Consider the following 25141-nt stretch of genomic DNA (forward strand, 5'->3'; position numbering starts at 1 on the left):
GCGATGATTAAAAGGCAGCCGCCCCGAATCCCGGGCGCGGGCGGGGAGCGAGGCTGGGCATGCTCAGTGGGCCGGAGACGGGAGGGAAGCGGGGAGGGGGCGGGGGCGGGGGCGGGGGTTGGGGGGGGTGGGTCGGAGCCGCGCGAAGGCGCATGCTCAGTCTCCGCATCTGCTCCTTCATCCAGTGCCGCAGCCGGAAAACCGCAGCGGCGGCGGCGGCGGCTGAGGGGGAACGATCCAGCGAGCTGCAGAAAGGGGGGCAGGAAAAAATTACAAGGACATTACTGATAAGACAGGAACTGAGAGCTTGGGATTCGCGGCCTCTCCCCGGCCACCACCTTCGCCGTCAGCAAGGGAGGAAGACCCGGGAGACGGCAGCGGCGACGGCGGCAGGGGAAGGAGGAGACGGCGACGGGAGGGAGCACAGAGGAGGGGACGGGCCGGCGGCGGCCTGTGAGCCGCAGTGATTTTGACGTTTTCCGCTGCTGCGTCTCCGGCGGGCAGGGGCCGGGCTGCGCTGGGTGGGCCAGCTCGCCCCGCGCTTCCCCCTCGTCCTGCTCGTCCCTCCGCCCACCCGGGGCCTGAGGGGTCTCCCCGCTCCGAGGGAAGGGGAGAGGGAGGCGAGGGCGTGCGGGCATCGCGATGGCGGGGACATTTTCCACAACGTGATTGTTGAAGGCTCCCCCCATCCCCCCTCCCTTAAAATTCCGGGCCCTTCCAGCCTCCACCCTCCCCCAAGCCCGTGTGACTAAACCGAGACAAAGGGGAGGCGGCCTCGCTCACACGCGGGCTCGCGGGGCGGGTGGCTCGGAGGGGCGCGGGCACGGGGCGGACCTCGCGCGGACGGACGGACGGAGACGGCGCCGCCACATTCCTATGCCCGGGAGCGGCGGCGGCGGCGGCGGCGGCTCCCGCGGGAGGCGGCAGGCGCGCGGCGCGGACAGCTGAGCTTCTCCTCCGTCGGCGCCCGGGCGGACATCGCCCGGGCCCCGATGGTTTGAGCTTGCTTCTCCCTCCCTCCCGACCCCCGTGGTGGCGAGGCCACGCCATGTGAAGGTTAGGGCCGGGACATCCCGAGGAGCCGCGGTGAAAGATGGGGGATGCTGCAGACCCCAGGGAGATGAGAAAGACGTTCATTGTTCCAGCCATCAAGCCTTTTGACCACTATGATTTCTCCAGGGCCAAAATCGCCTGCAATCTGGCCTGGCTGGTGGCCAAAGCCTTTGGGACAGGTTAGTGGTGTCACCCTTTCCCTCCCCTCTTCCTCCTGATGTGGTCCACATCTCGGTTTTTGTTCCCGATTCTCGAATCCCTCCCTCCCCGTGCCTGTCTTCTCGTACAGGTTAAGGGAGATGATGGGAGGCTAGGAAGAGAAAGAAAGGAGAAATAAGGAAAGCAGGTTTGGTCTTCAATGAAGGGCACGTGAATGGTCAGGTGGGATTTGGCCAGATTCCTTTTATTGGATGGCAAAATGTCCCCCCCATCCCCCAGTGAGCAATTTTATGTTTTTACATAGAGTGGTTTTGATTTGTGGTATTTTCTTCATTGTGTTGCGTACATTTCTGCCTCAGTCATAATTGTGATTACACCACCAAGAAATCTGAGTTGGTTTCTTTATTATTGCAAGAAGGTGGATGGTGCATAGTACTATATTGATTTTGACATTTGTAATGATGGCTGCTATTCAGGCTCCGTTGGATGTAAGGTGGCCTGTGTCGAGTGCAGTATTAATTTTTGTTGTCATTCTTTAAGGCTGTATCAGCCTTCTGCACGCATGTTAAGTTCTTATTAAATCAGTTATTTAAAACCAGCGTTCAGTTTGCTGACTGTAGGGTGCAGTTTTCATTTCATATTATCAGTGAGGCATATTCTTTTTTCCAAATGTATTTTGGCTTCATAAATTAAAAGAAACAAAAACTCCCTACTTTGGGAAGTTTTTTAATAGATGAGTTTTTCGAAGGCGTGTGCTGTTGACACAGAAATTGTATAGTACAGTAGCAGTTAAACACTCCCTCCATAACCCAGTCTTTGCAAAATAACAGGAAAAGGGCCTCCCGTTATGATTCTTTAGTGTTGCTTTAGGAGCCCATGTTGTGAAATGTTAAAAAAATTAGAGAGCTGCTTTTCATTGGAAGATGCTTCTGTAATTTGGTAACTTTTAAGAGTAATTTTACAAGATTTCTGTTCCCTAGTTAATGAAGTTTAGATATATGAAATATTTGTTGAAAAGTTCCCTAGTACTCACAAATTTCCACATGTTAAATATAGGGTTTTTCAGGGGGAGGGTGACTAATTTCCAATTTTAGGACTATGTAATGTTTTGGTAAATGGTTTAGTTCAGTTTTACTGCTTAAACTTACACAGCTGAGTATTTTCAGGACTTACACATCCTACTTAAATAGCAGATTAATCTCAGTGTTTGGAAAATGATTTGAATTTGTTTTTGGGGAAACTTGACATTGATGTGATTTTATGTTTATGGCAGCCTTAATTTTACTTGAATTTTTATGCTTTGATATTAAGCTGGCATCAGGAATAAATATAGTAAATCCTTTTCAAATTATTTAAATTTTAAACATCTCTTTGAAATTGAATGTCTAGCGTAACTCATAGGAAGAAACACAAAGTGTTACTGCCTTTATATAAAAACATTCTGGCACCACTGATATAAGCAGTGAGAATAATAGATGTATTTTGGTTTTAACTTAAGCAGCACACTGAAGCCGGTATCTATTTGGATGGCAAATCAAGGCTATTTAAGTGCTTAGAAAACATGGAAAGAGGGAAATTTACATAGTCACCTATGTGGAAAAGTAGTATGTATAAAGTGGAAGGCAAAGGGAATAAGAGAAATATTTTCTTTCCATCTGGAACTGAGAGGATACTTATAGGATACAGATATCAAAATTTTGCCATGCATACACAAAAGCTTCCAGCTAGAAAATGGCCTACTTTCTGGGTATGTGTCAGGCAGGTTCGTAGATTCTAGACCACTTGAACATATTGAACACACCTGAAGAAGAAAGGAAATGAAGGGAATCTAGTATCAGTGGAATCTGATGTCTGCCAGGCACTCTGCTGGATGCTTTGCAGTAAGTTGTACGTTAGAGATTGATAACAAGTCTCTGATGTAGGTAGTGTGTTCCCCATTTAAAAAATAGGAGGAAATCAGTGCATAGAGAGGTTAACTTTCCTACTATCACAGTGTTAGTAAGTGGCAGAAGTGAGTTTTGATTTGAGGTCTGACTCAAAAGGGTAAAGGTATTGGTGGAGGTGGAACACTGCTGTTAGATACCCAGCACTCTGAATACATTACTTCATTTATTCCTGCAGCAACCCTGTAGATACTGTTCTCATTTTGCAGATAAGGTAACTGGCTCACAGATTAATTTGCACAAGATTAAACATCTGGCAAGTGATGTGTTCTGCATGTCTGACTCTGAAGCCTTTGCTTATTACTCTATACCGTTCTGCAGAGTAACCGTTTTATCTGCAGGTGTGAAAAATGTGCACATAGTACATATTGAAGTCTAATTTTTTCTTTAAAAATTGTACAAATCTTAATTCATTTTCAGATAGATGATATTGTTGGCTATTACATTTGCCTTGGCAGCAGTTGGAATGGATGAAAAGACCATATTCAAATGGGATGAAAAACAAGTTTAGAAGACCTTGAGTGACTTAGTAACAATATATTAATACATTATTAAGAATGTTATGTTTGTACATTTTGTTTATTCTTTATCAACAGTCTTTCAAAACAAATTTATATGGAGTGAATAGAAAAAAATTAGGAATTTTTTTGATGTAAATATTCTTTATTTGCTGCAGATACACTTATGCAGGAAAGGTTAATAGATAGCATATTTCAAAGGTATTACCTAATTATATTTAGTTGTTCAAAAAATCAGCCCAGCTTTCAATATGATTTACTAAAATCACTCCTTTAACAATGACTTACAGGGTCTTCAGGCACTGATTTGGTGTTTTCTATTAGAAACTTTCTAACTTTTGATGTACTGAAAAAGTAGTCAATTTTATAACCATATGTTGTAAAAGTCATTTAAAATGATAGCTAGAAATGTGAGCATAGAATGAAGTAATTGAACTTAAAAAAAAAACACTGATGTTGTAATACCTAGAAAGCAAATATGGAATATTTACTTAATTTGAAGTCTTAGGAGCCTTGAATCATTTTCTTCTCTTTACAGTAGTATTACAAAAGTATTACAAATAGCCCAAATTTTAATAGTTTATTTTGTGGAAGATGCAGATACAGGTTTGATTAAATGAAGAATACATTTTTATAGATGAATTTGAAACACTAAATCGATAATCCAAATTCCAAAGGAGGAAGTAGTTCAACTATCTGTGCCTTTTCTATATTTGAAGAGCTTAACCCATTTAAGCAAAGATTTTACAGAATTTTCTTTAAATGTTCTGTTCTCTTAAATCCTTTGGGGGAAATGGTAGATGCAAAACCTCTTGTGACACTCTTACTAAACTCTTGAATTTGGAATTCAAGGCCCACTTCCTAGTGTCAGTTTATCACTTCAATCTTCTCAACTATTATTCTCCTTTTTATCCCATTTAGTTTAGTGATATAAAATATTTCCTATCATAAATATACCTTGTTACATTTCTTTGTCTGTCTTAACAAATCTTGCTGTCAAAGTCCTGTATAAGGTCTGACTCTTGTGCATATATGAAGATAGTTGAGAGCAGTGGGTAGCATTGTGGTTAAGAGAGACCCGTAGCAGAGGGGCCAGTTTGGGACATTATTGCAAGAGTCTGGGCAAAAGATAAGGTCCTGTGTCTTTGACTTTGTAGTCAACAGAAAATTTACCAATAAGAAAAAAAAAAAAGAAGTTCATGAGGTCTTGAAGTGGTAGGGGGCGGGTATGATAATAAAGCTGCTAATATAGGCTGGGCATGGTGGCTCATGCCTGTAATCCCAGCACTTTGGGAGACCAAGGCGGGTGGATCACCTGAGGTCAGAAGTTCAAGACCAGCGTGACCAACATGGTGAAACCCCGTCTCTACTAAAAATAGAAAAATTAGCTGGGCATGGTGGCGAGTGCCTGTAATCCCAACTACTCAGGAGGCTGAGGCAGGATAATCGCTTGAACCCAGGAAGTGGAGGTTGCAGTGAGCCGAGATGGTGCCATTGCATTCCAGCCTGGGCAACAGAGCAAGACTCTGTCTCAATAAATAAATAAATAAATAAATAAATAAATAAATAAATAAAGCTGCTAATACTTATTGAGCTCCTACACTGTGTGTCAAGCACTTTACACATACTGTATCATTTAAATCCTCATGACAGCCTTTTGAGGTGGAAAGGTTACTTATTCCAATTTTACTGATGAGGAAAGTGTCCGGGGACTTAGGAACTCTTCCAGAGTTACCCAACTAATGGAGCTGGGATCTGAACCCAGGGAATTTGACTTCAGCCTGTACTTGTAACTACTGTTCTCTATGGGTAGAAGTCAAAAAATGGAAAGGAGGCAAATGATAGAAAAAATGTTGCAGAGATTTAATCTCTAGTATTTCTAAGTGGGTACATGGGAAATGGTTTGAATGAAAAGGGAATGTGTAAGAGGGTGAGGTCGCCTGAGGTTTTAAGAAGGATGAGGTTACCTGAGATTTTGAGATTTGGTGACTGACAGGCTGAATTGAGATGCCATTGACAGAGAAGAAAGTATAGTAACACTGAAGCCCTGGAAGGAGAAAATTTCAAGGAGAATGGTCTGATTCAACAGTGTCAAATCCTATGTGTTTAAGCTATGCCTTTCTTTTAAGAGTTTATGCTTTGCTAGGGGAGGTATGATAAATGTATAACCACAGTAGAGTTCAGAAATAAGCTAAGAGTCATATAATTGGAAATATGACATTCAGAGGGAGACTGGTGGCGTTAGGATGCGGTGGGGTGGCAGGGGAGAGGCCATTTCCAGCCTCATCAGTGGTCTGTGAAGGAAGACCTCTCTAGTGGAGGTGGTATTTAAGCTATAGGCTGAATTGAAAGTAGGCATGGTAGATGGAGGAAATGGTTTGTGTGTAGACATGGAGTTGTGAAACCCAGGTAGTGCTAATGAAACAACATAGACCAGATTGATGGGATGAGGTTTATGTAATGAAGCAGTGAGAGAGCCAGCTTGAAAGACAAACGGACAGAATTATGTGAAGGGTGAGGTGAAGGAATTTGGTATTTATTTAGTAGTTAAATTATCCTAAGCACATTGGATTAAAAAAAAAAGAAAAAATACTATTAAGTATATTAAACATGTAATTTGTGCTCATTATTCTTGTAAGCGTTTTATATGCATTATTTATTTTAATTCTGAGAATGAGCCTATTAAGTAGATATTATTTTATTCTAAGACTCTAAAACAGGGTTTCTCAACTGCAGAACTATTGGCCAGATAATTCTTTGTTGTTGGGGGCTGTCCTGTGCATTCTAGGATTTTAGCGGCATCTGTGGCCTCTACCCACCTGATGCCAGTAGTGTTCCCTACCACTACCCCTACTCCTACCCCAGTTGTGACAACCCAAAATGTCCCCAGACATCTCCAGATGTCTCCTGGGGAACAAAAGGAGCCCAGGTTGAGAATCACTGCTATAAATATTATAAGACACACTATTGTGATCTAAAAAGGTTTTTTTTTTTGTATGTTGAAGTACAAATTAATTATAAGACATACTGATTTCACAAATATTCAATTTGAAAATAAGAATTTAGGAAATATTATATGATAGTTCACCCTTTTTAAAATAAACAATGAGACAGATTTAGAGGAGTTAACTAACTTGCCCTTGATCATACAACTTGTAAGAGGTGGAAACAAAATTAGAGTCTAAGCCTTTGTGATACTGAAATTTGTATCTTAACCTCTGAGTTACAGTCTTCCTGGATTTTTAGTAGAGATTGGGGTTTTGCCATGTTGGCCTGGCTGGTCTCAAACTTTGGGGTCAAGTGATCCGCCTGCCTCGGCCTCCCAAAGTGCTGGGATTACAGGCATGAGCCTTTGTGCCTGGTTGATGATGATGTTAAAATAGATTGTTGACCATGTGAACTTATTTTCTAATTTACGTTTTATAGAATTTTGTCTCGTAACAGATTTTGAAACAGCAGAAATATTTTCTATTATCTACCCTTTAAAAAATAGATGCTAGAGGTCTTTATTTATATAGGTTCTTGAAAATTTATTGACAGTTAAAAAGTTTTTAAAAATAGGTATACAGGTACAGATTCAAAACTCAAAGGTATAAAAGAGTAGATCTTGTGAGAAGTCTTCTTCCCACGTGGACCCTGAGCTAGTCAGTTTCTGTTTTAAGCGAGATGAAATCATCAGAAGATTTGTTTTTAGAAAATCTCTTGGAATACACTTAAAAATGGTTAAAATAGTAAAGTTTATGTAATGTATATTTTACCACAATTTTTAAAAAGATGTCTTGGAAACAGTAGAAAATGAATTGGAGGAGGGCCAAGAGTTATGAAGGAGGAAACCACAGGGAAGTTATTATGTTTCAGGTGAGAGATGATGGCATCTTGAATGTGGATGGTAGTGGTGGGTATGGAAAGAAGTGGATGAATGTAAAGGATAAGGCTTGGTGATTGATTGGATATGTGGAAGAAAAGATGAGATCTTGGGAAGTGTTAAGATTGATTCTATTTTGTGAGAAAGGGAACAATGGAAGAGGGCCAGTGTATGTGTTTAAGAGCGGGTTGGGGGGAAAGAACCATGTTGAGTTTGAGGAATATAAAATGGTGGTGTGTGCATTAGGCCTGTGGAAATTCATGTATGGAGCTTAGAAGACTTCAGGGATGAGAGCTATAAGTGGTAATTAAAATTTAAAAAGTAGGTGACTACCAGTCACTAGTCACATTTTTTTTTTTTTTTTGAGACGGAGTCTTGCCCTGTCGCCCAGGCTGGAGTGCAGTGGCGTGATCTCGGCTCACTGCAAGCTCCGCCTCCCGGGTTCTCGCCATTCTCCTGCCTCAGCCTCCCGAGTAGCTGGGACTACAGGAGCCCACCACCACGCCCAGCTAATTTTTTGTATTTTTAGTAGAGACGGGGTTTCACCGTGTTAGCCAGGATGGTCTTGATCTCCCGACCTCGTGATCTGCCCCCCTCGGCCTCCCAAAATGCTGGGATTACAGGCGTGAGTCAACTGCGCCCGGCCTAGTCACATTTTTTTTAAGGTCTCACTGTCACCCAGGCTGAGTGCAGTCATGTGATCAAAGCTCATTGCAGCTTCAAATTTCTGGGCTCAGGTGATCCTCCTGCCTCAGCCTTTTGAGTAGCTGGGACTACATGCCTGGCTAATTTTTTTGAAAATGTTTTGTAGAGATAGGGTCTCACTGTGTTGCCCAAGCTGGTCTTGAACTCCTGTATTCAAGCACTTTTCCTGCCTCGGCTTCCCAAAGTGTTGGGATTACCTGCGTGAGCCACCCCACCCAGCTGACTGCCAGTCACTTTGAGGGAGCGTATGGAGAAAGAAAGGACCCAAGACAGGCGAGCCAGCAAAGGAGCTAGGCATAGGGTAATTAGAAAGAAAACCAAGGGAATGTGGAGGCTCAGAAGACTAGGGAAGAGAACATTGAGGATGAAGGAATATGAGGTGTAGCTGAGAAAGATTAATCGAGGACTCTCAAAAAGATCCATTAGATTTAGCTACAAGGAAGTTATTGATGATTTTGCTGAGAACATTTTGAGGGGAATGTAGAGACAGAAGCATGACTAGGTTGAAAGTAAATGGGAGATTGTATCAATTATGCCGTCCTCACTTGTAGTAACAAAAAGTCCACCTCAAATTGGCTAATAGTAAAGAGGATTTATTGTTTCTGAAAAAGTCCTCAAGTGGGATGGGCTTTGGTTTTGATTTGATCAGGGCTGTAGCGTCATTTCTCTGTGATTCTTTTAGCTGTGCCCTTGTTGATGTGTGGATTTCATTCTCAGGCTGTCTAGTCTCATGGTAGAAAATGGCTGTAGCGGCCGGGCGCGGTGGCTCACGCCTGTAATCCCAGCACTCTGGGAGGCCGAGGCAGGCGGATCACGAGGTCAGGAGATCGAGACCATCCCGGTACTAAAAATACAAAAAATTAGCCGGGCGTAGTGGCGGGCGCCTGTAGTCCCAGCTACTTGGGAGGCTGAGGCAGGAGAATGGCGTGAACCCGGGAGGCGGAGCTTGCAGTGAGCCGAGATCCTGCCACTGCACTCCAGCCTGGGCGACAGAGCGAGACTCCGTCTCAAAAAAAAAAAAAAAAAAAGAAAATGGCTGTAGCAGTTCTAGGTCTCACATCTATGTACCACACCATTCAGAGCTCTTCTCTAATCACTGAAAGTTCTACACTCTTCTCTTGCTTTTTTCTTGCTCTTCAAACGGAAGGATTGATTATAGAAAATCTCAAATATATACAATAACAATAATCTTTCATGTACCCATCATCCAGCCCCTGCTGTCATCAACTTATGGCCAATCTTGATTCATCTCTAAACACTCCCCACCACTGCCAATTATTTGAAACAAATTCCAAACATCATGTCATCCCATCTATACGTGTATCAGTATGTATTTCTGTAAGTCCACTCCCTTTTTAAAATGTAATTGTGGCACAGCCATCACAGCACTGTTGTCACAGAATTCCATATCATCAAATCAATATGAACATTTCTGATTGTCTCATAAATGTTTTTTATTTTTATTTTACAGTTTTATTTGTTCTAGTTAGGATCCATCTAAAGGCCATACTTTGTAATTCGTTGATATCTCTTTATATTGTTGTGTTTTTTTTTCTTTTTCAGGTATATATGACCAGAAGATTTTTTTTCTTAATGTATAGGCTCCTTCTCCATCTCATTTTAATCTTCCTTGCAGTTTATTTGTTGGAGAAACCAGAGTATTTGTCCTATAAAGTCTCCTACAGTTTGGAGCTCCATGATATTAACAAGTTTCTCTTTGTCCTCTGTATTCGTTATAAATTGATAGTTAGATCTAGAGGATTGATTGCATTCAGGTTTGATTTTTTTTTTTTTTTGGTATACTTTATACGTGGTGTATAGTTCTACCACAAGATACTTAATATCTAGTTGTCTCTCTATCATGACTTCTCTATTTATTAGCTGAAATGCTGTTTTAAAAATAAATTTCCCTTTATTATTTGGTTACCCTGAGTGCTGTGTGGGAAATTACCTTGATCCAATGGTAGCCTCTAAGTGCGTGCCATACAAAAACTAGCCTAGAGGTCACAGAACAGAAAGCTCACAGAACAACTTAAAATGCCCAAATTATGTGATTTGTTAAATCAGTTTTTAGTGAGAAGCAAGAGGAAAGAGATAGGATGAGTTAAAACACTTAGGATAGGATGCAAACAGGGAGGAAGGACCACACTCCCTGAATGCTGCAGTATATACATTTCATGTGTCCTGTCTCTACTGCATTAGCCTTCTCTGCTGATAGTGTGGTCACCAGGACCAGAGCTGAGGTTTGAACAAAGAGGCCCACACAGACATAGGCCAGTGCCACACACTTGCTCTATTAGACATGGGACAAGGAAGCCTGCCACAGCTGTAGCTTGCCACAAGCCTGATGATAGCCATGGGCATTGTGTTCCTTGGGCAGAGGACACATGGGCCAGACTGGGCATCATCAATGGGTAGCTGAATTAAGGACTCATGAATATCATGCTCATGTGTTCATTGACTCTTGTTTAGTGTCATGCATATTTACTCTGTCATGAATATTTAGTACTTAGTATATTTAGTGTATCATGAATATTTAATACATAGGTGCCTCATAAATATTAGGTATCTTGTTTTTTCCATCCCTTTCTATGTTTAATATATGTGTGCTATTAACTGCTTACCTTTATTTAACATGTTCTATCAATTATATGTTTAACAAACTTTTAAAACTAGCTCCTTATCTATACTTAAAATATCTTTGAACATTTCATCTACATTTTACAAACTTTTTCATCTTTATTTATAATAGAATTGAATAGTCTCAAAAGTAAAATTTTATTACATTGAGATACAGGGAAAGCAGGATAAATGCTATATTCTTTCTCTTTATGGGGGGGAAATTGGACCAGACTGAATGGATCACTGGCCCCTGAGAATCTGAAAGGAGGTAAAGAATAGGGAGAACATTCCAGAGAATGTGAAAAGGCTCCGGAGTGGAAGAGAGCATGGTTTCCAGGAACTGAATGTGACTGGCAGGGATAGGATCATTCCATTCTTGTAGGCCAGAGGAAGGATTTTAATCCTTAGAGAAGTGGGAAGTCATTGGAAACCCTTGGGGATGGGGTGGTGTGTGTGACATGACCAAATTTGCTTATGGGAAATAAGCAAATTCTGGCTACAGTAGAGAATGGTTTGGAGCGGGGAGCAGAGTGAATGTGGGAAGACAAAATTTGGAGTAAATATAGTAATTAAGATAAAAAGTGCTGGTTGCCTGAACTAGGGAGAACCAGAACCTGGAGTCTGAGATTGTGAGAAGGGGGAAGACTTTAGCCTGGATTCTGTAATGGATTTTATTTATGGTTGAAGGAGAGGGAGGCATTAACGATGACTCCTAGGTTTCTGACTTGTTCGGCTCGATGGATTGTGGTGTACTTTATTGATATAAGGAACACTGAAAGATCATCAAGTTTGGGAGAAAAGATTGGTTTGGGGCATTTTGAAGTTTTGTAGCTTTTTCAACATAATTTCAAATGTGTAAGAATAGTATAAAGAATTCCCAAATACTCTTTACCCAGATTTACCAATTATTTTGTCCCATTTGTTTTATTATTCTGTCTCATTCCTTCTTCCTACCTCCCACACAAATGCCTGTATGTGTGTGTGTGTGTGTGTGTGTAGAGAGAAAGAGATAGATAGATAGATACATCTTTTTTTTTTTTTTGAGACAGAGTTTCGCTCTTGTTGCCCAGGTTGGAGTGCAATGGCGCAATCTCAGCTCACTGCAACCTCTGCCTCCCGGGTTCAAGTGATTCTCCTGCCTCAGTCTCGCGAGTAGCTGGGATTACAGGTGACTGCCACCACACCCAGCTAATTTTTTTTGTATTTTTGGTAGAGACCGGGTTTCATGATGTTGGTCAGGTGATCCATCTGCCTCGGCCTTCCAAAATGCTGGGATTATAGGCATGAGCCACCGCGCCTGCCTTTTTTTTTTTTTTTTTTTGAGACAGGAGTTTTGCTTTGTCACCAGGCTGGAATGCAGTGGCACGATCTCGGCTCACTGCAATCTCCAACTCCCGGGTTCAAGGGATTCTCATGCCTCAGCCACCCAAGTAGCTGGGATTACAGGCACGTGCCACCACGCCCAGCTAATTTTTGTATTTTTAGTAGAGATAGGGTTTCACCATGTTGGCCAGGCTGATCTTGAACTCCTGACCTCAAGTGATCTGCCTGCCTCAGCCTCCCGAAGTGCTGGGATTATAGGCATGAGCCGCCATACCCAGCAATGTATATATAACGTGTGTGTGTGTGTGCTTGCATATATATAGGATATAAATAAATATATATAATATTTCTGGACCATTTGAGAATATGTAAAGAGATATTGTACCCTACACTCCTTCAGTGTATATCTCCTATAAAATGAAGGATAGTTCCTGAACATAATCTCATTTAAAAATTGGGAAATTTTAGCTGGGTGTGGTGGTGGGCACCTGTGATCCTGGCTACTTGGGAGGCTGAGACAGGAGAAGCACTTGAATCAGGAGGCGGAGGTTGCAGTGAGCCATGATCGCACCATTGCACTCCAGCCTGGGTGACAAGAGTGAGACTCCATCTCAAAAAAAAAAAAAAAAAAAAAAAAGCTACAAGCTACAATATGAGGCTATGGTAAAGGCAGGGACCAGACTACCAGATTAGTCAGTTCTCTCTAAATCATAACAGAATATTTAACAAACCCTAGGAGCAATGGAAGGTCACTGGTGTGTCAAAAGCTTTCCCTGGCTAATAGTAAGGATGAAAAGATGGTGAGAGCACAGAAGTGTTGCTGGAAGTCACGCAAGAGGTATGGGACCTGGAATGAGGTAATTAAGATGGAGAGACACAGAGGTGTTCACAGTCTGTGTGGGAATCTGTGTTGGAAATAGAGCTTGGTTATAAATTAGATGGAGAATAGGGTTGGGCTGTGGGTGTAACAGGTGCAAAACTGAGCCTCAGTTGACTCATTTGGAAATAGCAGAGTTGTGGTTTACTGACGTGGAAGCACTGGATTGGGGCAGACTTATTGTGTGCAACATGGGCCACATTAACTTGGAAATGCCTGTAAAGCATACAAGGGAAGATATCACAAACATAATCTGTGGCTCAAAGGGGAGGTCTGGGCTACAAATCCAAATGTATTTTTTTAATTTTATCTTTCACTTTAAATTAAACATTAATGCATGACCGTTGGGGGAAAAAAAGCATTAAAAATGACCATAGAGTTCTTTCTCTACATGTGTACACATAATTATTATTTACAAAAGAATTATATTATTTTTAATCTGATTTTTAACATTTTGAGCACAGTTTCTTCAGGTAAATATAGATTCCTTCTGTGATATGTAACTTTACTGAGCATATAATATTGCTTAATGTATCTATACTGTAAATTATTAACCTGGTTCTTATTTTAATATATATAGATGGTTTCTAATATTTTGCTACAATAAGCAGCACTACAATTAACACTCTTATATGTCTTTGTGTAATCACTTAGTAAAATTCATAATTCATAAGAAAAAAAATTGGGAAATTTAACCTTGACGTGATACTCTTATCTGATTCACAGCCCGTATTCAGATTTGCCAATTATGTTGATTTTCATTATTGCTATTTTATTTCCCAATTCAGGATCATGCTTTGCATTTAGTTGTCATGTCTCCTTTTTTTTTTTTTGCTGAGATGGAGTCTCGCTCTGTCGCCCAGGCTGGAGTGCAGTGGCGCCATCTCAGCTCACTGCAAGCTCCACCTCCCAGGTTCACACATTCTCCTGCCTCAGCCTCCCAAGTAGCTGGGACTACAGGTGCCCGCCACCACGCACGGCTAATTTTTTGTATTTTATAGTAGAGACGGGGTTTTGCCGTGTTAGCCAGGATGGTCTCGATCTCCTGACCTTGTGATCCACCCGCCTCGGCCTCTCAAAGTGCTGGGATTACAGGCGTGAGCCACCGTGCCTGGCCTAGTTGTCATGTCTCTTAAGTCTCCTTTAACCTGGAATAGTTCTTCAGTCTGCCTTTGTCTTTAATGATATTAACACTTCTGAAGATAGAGCACCAGCCTGGGTGTGGTGGCTCACCCCTGTAATCCCAGCACTTTGGAAGATTGAGGTGGGCGGATCACTTGAGGTCAGGAGTTTGAGACCACCCTGGCAAACAAGGTGAAAACCCATCTCTACTAAGTGGTGTGTGCCTGTAGTTCCAGTTACTTGGTCCGTGCTTGTGGTTCCAGCTACTCGGTAGGCCGAGGCAGGAGAATTGCTTGAACCTGGGAGGCAGAGGTTTTAGTGAGCTGGGATTGTGCCACTGCACTCCAGCCTGGGCAACAGAGGCAAAACTCCATCTCAAAAAAAAAAAAAAAAAAAGATAGAGCACCCTTAGCTGTGTGCTGGCTGGATATCAAGCCCCTTCCTTAGGCATTGTCTTAGCTCTTGCCAAACTTTTGCCTGTGTGTCTGGTACAAGCAGCCAGTTCTCTGCAGGAGCTGACTGGGTGCCTCCTTCTTTGTGTTCCTCTTTACTCTGGAGTGCTGGGCCCTGGTTTAGCAGATGTCCCCCTCCACCCTTGGTTCAAATGACTGGGACAATGATGAGATCCTTACATGGGTGCTGGTATTGATAGGAATACCTAGACAGTAGGAAAAAAACAAATTACACAGAGTCCTGCCCTCAAACAAGAGCTGATGGAGACCCAGGAACTGGAGACCATCTCCTAAACCCCTACTACTTCTGCCCTCTGGTGCACCCTATCTTTTGGCTTTCTTCCCTCTTTCGTACTTCCCTTCTTCCCTCTCTTCCATTCACTCTTCCCTGCTCCCCTCTGGCAGACCCACTCTGTACTCCTCTTGCTTGTCACTGCCACTACCACGACCACCAGTTGTCTCTCTGTCAGCAGATGTGCCGTGTTGCCTCTCTGCACAGTACCATCCCTGCATTCCACAGAAGACTTGGGCAAGGGTGCCTGAGAGGTACCCAGAGACAAATCACGTGGCAGCCAGGCAGCCCCAGAGCAAAGATATTCAGACAGATGAAAGTCTCCTTACCCCCATTTCTTCCAAGATCAGAACAGCTTGACATACTCCTTCATACACAGTGATGCCAGGAAGGCAGGGGAGGCGTGGGAAGTCTTCCTTCCCAGTACCTGCAAAATGTCTGAGCATTATGTTGATTTTTTTCCTTTATTAAAATGTACTGTTTAATCTTATAAGAACAATATGCCTGTTATTTTATAGAATGTCTCTAAATTTGGATTTGTTTAAGGTTTCTTTATTCAAGTTTGATAAGGTTCAAGTTATAGAAGCCTGGTAGACTACTGCAGAAGAGATGTTGTAGTCTCAGTAAATCATATCAGGGGACACATAATGTTTGTTCCAGTATAGGTGATGTTAACTTTGATCACCTGGTCAAAGTGGTATCTGTAGTTTTCTCCATTATAAAATTATTTTTCCACTTTAAATTAATTAGTAATTTATAGGGAGGTAATTCAAAATATCCTGTTCATTAAACTGTTACCCACCATTTTAGAATCCAGTAATGATCTTGCCTGAACCGATTATTGCTGTTGATTACTATCCTTTTTTTCCATTTGTTTGTTGGTATTATTCTACCACAAGAAAGAGCTCCTTTTTTTTTTTTTTTTTTTTTTTTTTGAGACGAAGTCTGGCTCTGTCGCCCAGGCTGGAGTGCAGTGGCCCGACCTCGGCTCAGTGCAAGCTCTGCCTCCCGGGTTCATGCCATTCTCCTGCCTCAGCCTCCTGAGTAGCTGGGACTACAGGCACCCGCCACCAGGCCCGGCTAATTTTTTGTATGTTTAGTAGAGACGGGGTTTCACCGTGTTAGTCAGGACGGTCTCTATCTCCTGACCTTGTGATCTGCCTGCCTCGGCCTCCCAAAGTGCTGGGATTACAGGCGTGAGCCACCGCGCCTGGCCGAAAGAGCTTTTTTAATGTATTATTTATTTGTGTCAGGATAGACTCATTGATGCGTGTTTTATTCAGTGGGTTATAATTCTTTATTATGTATTCTGATGTTGGTGTTTTCCCAGTTTTAGCCAATGGCATCCCCTTCCATCTGGATCCTGTGTTCTTTTGACATGGCTCCATTATTTGTTAGCATTTCCTTACTTTCTGGCACATACCACAACAAAGATGTTCTAAGCATATCTTATACTTTCCCTGCTCCAGACCTGGAAACATTTCTTCAAGGAGCAGTGTTGCTTTTGGTGGGGAAGGTATTAGAAACCAAGATACAGGTGCTAGGCTTATTGCTAACAGTGTTATTTAGCAGACAGATAGTAAACACACACATATATACATAGTGTATAGCTAAATCTATTTCTTTTGCTATCCATATAAATAAAGAGATATATATCTGAAGCATCATGTATTTATAATGACACTTCCCATTTCAACCAGCACCACAGAGTTTATTCTAGTTTTTCCTTTTTCCATATTTGTAACTCCCCTGGTCACTGAGAAACCTGGCTCCCATTTTGAGTTAGGTTTCTTTGTGACACCCAAGTGAAGAGCTGAGTAGGCTGATGGCTTATAAGGATCTGGAGCTCAGAAGAGGTGCTTTGGCCTTATAGGGTAATGGGAGGAGTAGAGGTGATAATTTAAGCTCAGGAATGCTGTACCACACTTACCATGTTAGGTAATAATGTAGAGGGCAGGAGGGAGCTAACTTTTAATTGGTACCTTCTTGGAAGGCAAGGCTCTATGTGTAGGTACCGTACAGTCTTGGTAAATATTTGAGTGCGTACTGTGTTTCAGACGCAGTTCCAGGTACTAGTGACACAGGACAGATAAGTATCTTGCTCTCCTTCAGGTACCTTATAGTGAGAGGAGGTAGAAATAAAATATTATGGGATAGTAATAGTTGTTATCTAGAGAATTAAACTACAATGAGTGACTGGGTGGTCAGGGAAAGTGTGTTTGAGGAGGTTACATTTAACTGAGATCTGAATGGAAAGAGCCAACCATTCATTCGGTTAAGGGGAGGAACATTAGAGGCAGAAGGCCTCTAGTGCATGGGCCAAAAGGTCTGAACCTGGCATATTCTAGCAACAGGAAGAGTTGGGTGTTTGGAACATAGCGGCCTGGGGAAAGTGGAGGAAGTTGAGGTCAGAGTAGGAGTAGGCAGTACATTTGTGGAATATGGAGAAACTAAAACTCAGAGAAGTTAATTACTGAACTCAAGATCCCATCAAGTAAATGGCTGGGCCGGGCATGGTGGCTGGTGCCTGTAATCCCAGCACTTTGGGAGGCCAAGGCGGGCAGATCATCTGAGGTCAGGAGTCCAAGATCAGTCTGGCCAACATAGTGAAACCCCATCTCTACGAAAAATACAAAAATTAGCTGGGTGTGGTGGCACATACCTGTAGTCCCAGCTACTCGGAAGGCTGAGGCACAAGAATTGCCCGAACCCAGGAGGTGGAGGTTGCAGTGAGTCGAGATCACGTCACTGCACTCCAGCCTGGGCGACAGAGTGAGACTCTTTCTCAAAGAAAAAAAGAAAAAAAAAAGAAAAAAAAGTAAGTGGTGAAATTAGGACTCAACCGATTCTTTTAAAATCTAAAGCCTATACTTTCTCAAAGCCCAAATTTTTCCAAATTTTGGAATGGATGCAGGTAGTGAATGTAGGTAAACTGAAAACCTATGTGGTTTTGAGAGGGATTGCTGTCACAGAAATTAAGTGTGGCCCAGAGAAAACTAAAGTTTCTCAAAGCGTGTACAAGGAGTAAATAATGATTACTAGCACAGAATCAGGTAGTAAACTTGAGGGGGAAATTTGAAACCTGGGAGTACTTTCAGGAAAAGGCTAGTGACTAGAATTTTTTTTAATAACATTTTTATTTATTCATCAAATCTTTCCTTACCACGTACCAGGCGCTGAGTTAGGCCCTAGAGATTCATATCATGGTAAATGAGGAAGACATGATCCTTGCCCTTTGGTCATATATTAGGGTATTCATATCGGTACACCCTTGTCAACAGTGGGTTTAAACTTTTTTTTTGTTTGTTTGCCATTTTGATAACTTTAATTACTGGTACTATGAAGTTTTAAATGTTATTGATCATCTTTATGTCTTTTGGTTAATTTCAAGTTCAGATTCTGTGGCTTACTTTTAATTGGAGTTCTTTGAAACTTAGAAGTTCTATAATAGTTATTACCTTAGAAACTATTTTTTAGATTTGGAAAATAAGGTGGCATTCCTATGATTTAGTGTGATGATATTTCTAAAATGTACTCCCCTCCTGCTTCCTGCCCCTTTATTGCTTTTAATAAATCTGTGTCACTTGCTGGAATGTGGATGCAACTGGTAGCTAACCCAGTTTTATAGAAAATTGCCTTGAGCAGTACTGTCTCTGCTCCCTCTACCTGTACCTCAAGCATTTCAGGTGGATGTTACTTTCAAAACTTAGGTCTAGTCAGGACTTATAGTAGCATGATTAAATTATGTTCTGCTTAAGTCATGGTATACAAGAAAAACTCATCTCATATCCTTTGCAATTCTAGCAGTGGTATTTCATTCAGCTGTTCTGTCTGTATTAATTTCTTACTTTTTGTGTTCTGGAGGTTAGGGAGAGAGTGAAACCCCTTATCTTTGATTTTGCTGTTTATTTTCTAATATGCTGTTTCAGTTCATTTTTTTTTAATGTGGTACAATTCCAAACTTTAAAAAAAATAATAGTTTTATACCATTGGTAAAATGATAGACACATTTGAAGTCTTCTCTTAAGTATATTTAGCTCTTGAAGACTTGTTTTTAAAATGACCTATTTTATATTCAGTATGAAGTTTTACATTCTCTTGAGGGCTGAAAAATCTATTTTTGTTGTATTCTTGAAACAGTCTTTGATTAGCTGTGGATCCTTTCCCTTTTCCTTGCATTGGGGTCTTTTTAAAACTTACACTTTCACAACTTAGGTTAGTGGATATGCTTTAATGAAATGGAAGCAACCCCTGGACTCTTGTCTTCCACCTTCCACCCTTTTGATCTTGGCAAATCATTATTATGTTTGAGCCTGTTTAGCAAGATGGTGTAGAGCTATAATTCTGTGCTTATCAGCTATGTGCCCCTGGGCAAGATGTCCTTTCTTGAGTTCTTTATCTGTAAAATAAGGTAAGAGGGTTGTCAGAATTAAATGACAGAATGCATGTTTAGGACTGTGTCTGACAAGATGTTATAAAGGTCATATATGAAAATGGATGTAAAAGCAGTAAGTAAATGCTAGGTGGATATATAGGTATGATAGATAAATTTGTAATCCTGATAATGAGCATTTACTTTTCACAGCTAATATTTAGATGCCAAATAACTTATATTAGCCATTTTTTACTGATACAGGAAATAAAAATCCATTGTTTATACATTTGATAAGTTATCTTAAAATCAAATAATTTTCCTTTTACAGCTGTTCTACTAATAGTTTCTGTTTATTTCCTACAATACTAAAGTGTAAATGAATACCAGCACTATATTCTGCAATTTAAAACTGAACTTCACCATCACGCTGAGGCAGCTATATTAAATTTAAAGCTGGCTCACTACTGGGTAGTGCATCTACGAAGAAAGGAAAGTGTTTTCAATTATTAAATGAGGATGATATTTTTAGATGTCACCAAAATCCCAAATTGATACATCCACTCTTGACCTCTTTCCAGAGTCCTATATCTCCAGCTGCTTATTGGATATTTCCACTTGGATATTTTTGCTATTGTTTCAAACTCAATATGTCTAAAACTGAGTTTTTGATCTTGCTTTTAGAATTGGTGCTGCCTCTGATTTTCATTTTTCTATTAATGATATCACTGTTTCCCTCATAACGTAGGCTTATTATTGATTTCCATCTTGACCCTCTTTCTTTGCTTTATTCCTGGGTACTTTTTGTTTGTCTTTAGCAGTTAGTCTCTTATGTCCTATACTTTCTGTTTTCACTACTGCCTTTGAACTTCATTTCCTTATATCTATATGGTAATCTTCTATCTCTGATTTTTATGGCCATCAATATTAAATACCAGATTGTTCCAAAACGTCAGTCTTAATGTGACACTGTCCTGTAAAACTGTCAGCACCTCCTTGTTAGCTAATATACAAAGTCCTCGTGTTTAAAAGATGAATATTTCTTTCAAGTCCTCATCACGAACCTCTCCCATTCCAGCTTTGCCTCTTACTGCTTTCCCACATGAACTCTTCTCTCCACCCAGATTGTTCAATTTGGTGTCTCTTCACATCTTTTTTCCCTACTCTTTCTCTCCTCCCTCTCCTTACGTTTAGAAAGGCTCTTTTTTTTCTGACTAAAATTCTGCCGATTCCTGCTATTCTATTTTTTTTTTTTTTTTGAGATAGAGTTTCACTCTTGTTGCCCAAGCTGGAGTGCAATGGCGCGATCTCACTCTCTGCAACCTCTGCCTCCTAGGTTCAAGCAATTCTACTGTCTCAACCTCCCAAGTAGCTGGGATTACAGGCACCTGTCACCATGCCTAGCTAATTTTGTGTTTTTAGTAGAGAGGGGTTTCATCATATTGGTCAGGCAGGTCTGGAACTCCTGACCTCAGGTGATCTGCCCACTTCGACCTCCCAAAGTGCTGGGATTACGGGCGTGAGCCACCGCGCCCAGCTGCAGATTTTTCGAAGTACCAGTTTTGGTTAGTATTGTGGCATTATTGAGCTTATATTAAAGCTGCCTATTCAGGAAACAGCTAAGATCAGTGATGGGATGGCTGGCTTCAGAACCTCACTTTCTAGAGAGAAGGCAGGTGAGGGACTGGCTAGGTCTCAGGACAGAGCTATCAGGTTCTATAATTGCAGCTCCATGTTAACCTCTAACTCAGAAGCCCTACCTCTGGGGGACATACCTCATCCTTGTCCTGCTTCGATGAGAGGTATAGAGCCCAGGTAAGAAATGGAGAGGAGGAGGAAGAGATACAGGGTAGAATAGGCAAGAAAACTTGTAAAACAATGAGAAGTATTTTGTTTCTCTCGTTTGTTTTGGTAATTTTGCTGCTGTCAAATACAAATGCCTTTGCTTAAGTTGATTTGGGAGCAGACATTGGGAGAGTGGGAGTGGACATTGGAAGAGTAGGACTTGGCATTCTTAAAGGGTAGTGGCTAGCAGGAAAGAGAAACTTCGGAGGAGATTTTGGTTTTCTTCCCATCTCCCATTTCTAAACTACTACTTATGTTTTAGTCGAACTTGTCAGTTGGGTGCCCAGGAAGTCTTTTTCAGGTAGGATGGGGAGTGGTCAGTGGTAATGTGGCAATATCAGTGGTTTACTAGTGTAAGGGATTTTTAAGAGTAGTTCTCTCCTAAACAATTGCTATAATTCTTTTTCAGTAGTGTCAGCAAGCTAAGCATGAAGGGAGAGACGGCAGAGGTCTTGAGGCAAAGAGATAGAATAAGTTAGGCAGTCTCTATTCTGCAGCTCATTAGCTGTAAAACTGGGCAGATGATTTTGTATTCTCAGGTGGCAAGGACTAGCAGTCTCCTGAAATACCTATTGTGCATTTCCATGTTGACAGCTTGCCTGTGAGGAGCGTCATTGAAATTAGTTTTTAGGAATCTTATAGTTCATTCTGTAGATTTGACTATGAATGTGGGAATACTTTCCCAAGAGCCACTAGACTCAGAAAGCTTTTCTCCTTGTCTTGTAGTCCCTTTTTGGAATATACTCAGAAAGTATCTTCTGTAAAGGAAATTTGTATCTTTGTCTCATTCCAGAGTATATGTCAAAGTTTAATGAATCATCTTTTCAGTTAAAGGGTTATTGCTATATTTTTAGAGGGAATCTTAAATTCTATGACATAAATAATAATTATTAATTAAATTCTATGTTTCTTTTATAAAAATCTTGTAAGAGAATTTTTTCCATTAATCTTTATAGAAAATGTGCCAGAGGAACTTCAAGAACCATTTTACACAGATCAGTATGACCAGGAACACATCAAACCACCTGTTGTTAATTTGCTTCTATCGGCTGAACTATACTGTCGTGCTGGGAGTCTCATTCTCAAGAGTGATGCTGCAAAACCCCTTTTGGGCCATGATGCTGTAATCCAGGCTTTAGCACAGAAAGGTCTTTATGTCACTGACCAGGAAAAATTGGTAACTGAACGAGATCTCCACAAGAAACCCATACAGATGGTGAGTCTTTATATACCCAAGATTATTTTAAGTTTGAAGTGTGTACTTTTGAGTGTGAATGATATACTGTAAAACAGAGGGAAATGTTTTGAAATTGGATTGTATTTTTGCCTAGAGTTTACAACTCATCTTTTTCTTAACCTTGTTTCCAAATGAAGGAAGATTTTAACGATTTTGGAATGTTTGGTGCCATCTAATACCTTGGAGAAACAACTACATAATTTCCAACTACCTTAATGTAATTTTAATTGAAAACTTTTATTTTTTCCGTTGTAGAGACTGGCTAGAAGAGATGGAAAATGCATCCTTGACTTTATCATTAGGAAAGAGTTGAGATTAATAAGTGCTGATTTATGGCCGGGCGCGGTGGCTCACGCCTGTAATCCCAGCACTTTGGGAGGCCGAGGCGGGCAGATCACCTGAGGTCAGGAGTTCAAGACCAGTCTTACCAACATGGAGAAACCCTGTCTCTACTAAAAATGCAAAATTAGCCGGGCATGGTGGTGCATGCCTGTAATCCCAGTTACTTGGGAGGCTGAGGCAGGAGAATCGCTTGAACCCAGGAGGTGGAGGTTGCGGTAAGCTGAGATCATGCCACTGCACTCCAGCCTGGGCAACAAGAGCAAAACTCTGTCTCAAAAAAAAAAAAAAAAGCTCATTTATGTACTTGAATAACTTCTTGGTAAATTTCTGCATATCAGATATTTTCGTTTATTTGATAGCTTTGAACTCATTCTTGTAGACAACACACACAGAAGGCCTCTAAGCTGGCCTGGGGCCATCATGCAGGAACTCTCTCATAGGCAGTCTCAGGAAACATAAATCTAAATGTTTAAGTTCATTGTATGCTGGTTCAGTCCATTGTACTGCTTTAGCTTGAGTTTCACAAAATGTGGACATCATCAAGGATGGTATTAGAAAGAAAAGTGGTTTTTCCATACTCGATTAAATCAAAGAGTAGTAGTTTTGCTTGGGAGGAAGGTAAGGTGTATATGTAGAAAAGTATATTATAAAATTTATGAAGTTATGTAATTTAGGAAGAATGAACAAAAAAATTAGTTTATAAAATCTATTACTAAATGAGGTGATGACCTGTTTTGTTTTCTGGTTTTTTTCCTTCTTTAAAGTAACTCTTTTAATATTTCTAAGTAATGGAAAATAATGTATTGATTAGTTAATGGAATTTATAGATTTACAATATAGTTATTAACAATAACTAGAATATTGATTATCCAGTATGAGATTGTCATCTTTCATTGATGGCTCCAAAATCACCTTATAGTTACCCTCTGACTTTGGCATACCTGCTTTGCATACATATCATATGTGAACAGTTTGCCCATACCAGGGACAAGCAGAATCTACTTAGGTCCTTATCAGTGTCTCATATTCATCTCCCCCAGAATCATTCCCCTAGCTGGACACTCCAGCTTGTGATTACTTCTGCTTCCGTTGTTTGAAGGCTAAGTGGATAGTTAGAAAGCACATCCATGACTTTGTGAAGCAGTGTTTGTTTAGTTGCTGTTCTTTCAGATACAGATATATATGTCATAGATAACCTACTTATCCTTAGAGTGTCTATTTCAGATCCTCTAATAAGAATGAAACAAATTTAACATGTTTTCTACATTTTTTTCCAGTGTAGTTTGTATGTGTGAAATACTTGGACAATTAATTTTAAAATGAGGGGTTTGGTAGACTGCTGATTGTGTTACTCATGTTTCTTTCACACTTTATTGATCCTGCTGATAGCTTTGAATGTATTTTAATAATATTTAAGGAATGGAGTTTAAATGACTTAGAATCTTTTTTTTTTTCTTAGTTGGAGTCTCACTCTGTTGCCCAGGCTGGAGTGCAGTGGTGCGATCTTGGCTCACAGCAACCTCAGCCTTCTGGTTTCAAGCAATTCTTGTGCCTCAGCCTCCCAAGTAGCTGAGATTATAGGCGTGCATCACCATGCCCAGCTAATTTTTGTACTTTTAGTAGAGGCTGGGTTTCACCATGTTGGCCAGGCTGGTCTTGAACTCTAGACTTCAAGTGATCCTCCCACCTCAGCCTCTCAATATGCTGAGATTACAGGTGCACGGCATGGGCAACATAGAATCTTTATCTCTGGTTCTAACTTCTATTTGTGGATTGTTAGAACTTGAGAACTTCAGGCTGGGTGTGGTAGCTCACGCCTGTAATCCCAGCACTTTGGGAGACAAAGGCTGGCGGATCACCTGAGGTCAGGAGTTTGAGACTAGCCTGGCTAACATGGCGAAACCCCATCTCTACTGAAAATACAAAAATTAGCCAGATGTGGTAGTGCGCGCCTGTAGTCCCAGTTACTCGGGAGGCTGAGGCAGGAGAATCTCTTGAACCCAGGAGGTGGAAGTTGCAGTTAGCCGAGATTCCGCTACTGCACTCCAGCCAGACTGGGCGACAGAGTGAGACTTTGTCTTAAAAACCAACCAACCAAAGAACTTGAGAACTTCATATTTGACCTACATCATCTTAACCCTTTGCAGTGTCACATTTACCAACCTGTGTTTTAATTGTTTACTTTCAACTTTTATCACAATTTGATTTAAAGTTTTCCAGTTGCTGTGGCATTTTGATTGATGATATTTAATGTAACTATTTTCCTGAAACCTGCGTGAGAAAATTTCTCAGATTACTAGTAAAAAGTTGTTCCTTAAGAAACTATGTTTTTGGCTGGGCGTGGTGGCTCGCGCCTGTAATCCCAGCACTTTAGGAGGCCAAGGAGGGTGGATCATGAGGCTAGGAGTTTGAGA

The 25141-nt window shown here is 41.0% G+C and overlaps 1 protein-coding gene across 7 annotated transcripts in view, besides 3 other annotated features; it reads left to right on the forward strand.

Annotated features, from left to right (window-relative positions):
- The first annotated feature begins 158 nt into the window (after window positions 1–158).
- Window positions 159–25141, forward strand: part of CAMSAP2 (calmodulin regulated spectrin associated protein family member 2) — a 121812-nt gene continuing 96829 nt past the window's right edge. For 4 of the 7 annotated variants that reach the window (NM_001297707.3, NM_001389638.1, NM_203459.4 and 1 more), the window contains exons 1-2: window positions 159–1232; window positions 22105–22364. In NM_001297707.3, coding sequence (NP_001284636.1) covers window positions 1094–1232; window positions 22105–22364 — 399 coding nt within the window. In that variant the 5' untranslated portion in view covers window positions 159–1093. The remainder of the gene's footprint in view (window positions 1233–22104; window positions 22365–25141) is intronic. The other 3 variants (XM_017000799.2, XM_047416200.1, XM_047416203.1) reach the window with 1 other exon arrangement.
- Window positions 509–868: a silencer, noted in NCBI's record as "silent region_1676". NCBI's record gives its function as "represses an Ori minimal core promoter by ATAC-STARR-seq in GM12878 lymphoblastoid cells {active_cell/tissue: GM12878}" and the evidence as "EXISTENCE:reporter gene assay evidence [ECO:0000049][PMID:35858748]".
- Window positions 899–968: a silencer, noted in NCBI's record as "silent region_1677". NCBI's record gives its function as "represses an Ori minimal core promoter by ATAC-STARR-seq in GM12878 lymphoblastoid cells {active_cell/tissue: GM12878}" and the evidence as "EXISTENCE:reporter gene assay evidence [ECO:0000049][PMID:35858748]".
- Window positions 4613–4813: a silencer, noted in NCBI's record as "peak646 fragment used in MPRA reporter construct". NCBI's record gives its function as "represses an SCP1 promoter by STARR-seq MPRAs in K562 erythroleukemia cells {active_cell/tissue: K562}" and the evidence as "EXISTENCE:reporter gene assay evidence [ECO:0000049][PMID:32103011]".

The sequence above is a fragment of the Homo sapiens genome, chromosome 1 (assembly GCF_000001405.40).
Source record: "Homo sapiens chromosome 1, GRCh38.p14 Primary Assembly".
Taxonomy (NCBI): Eukaryota; Metazoa; Chordata; class Mammalia; order Primates; family Hominidae; genus Homo; species Homo sapiens.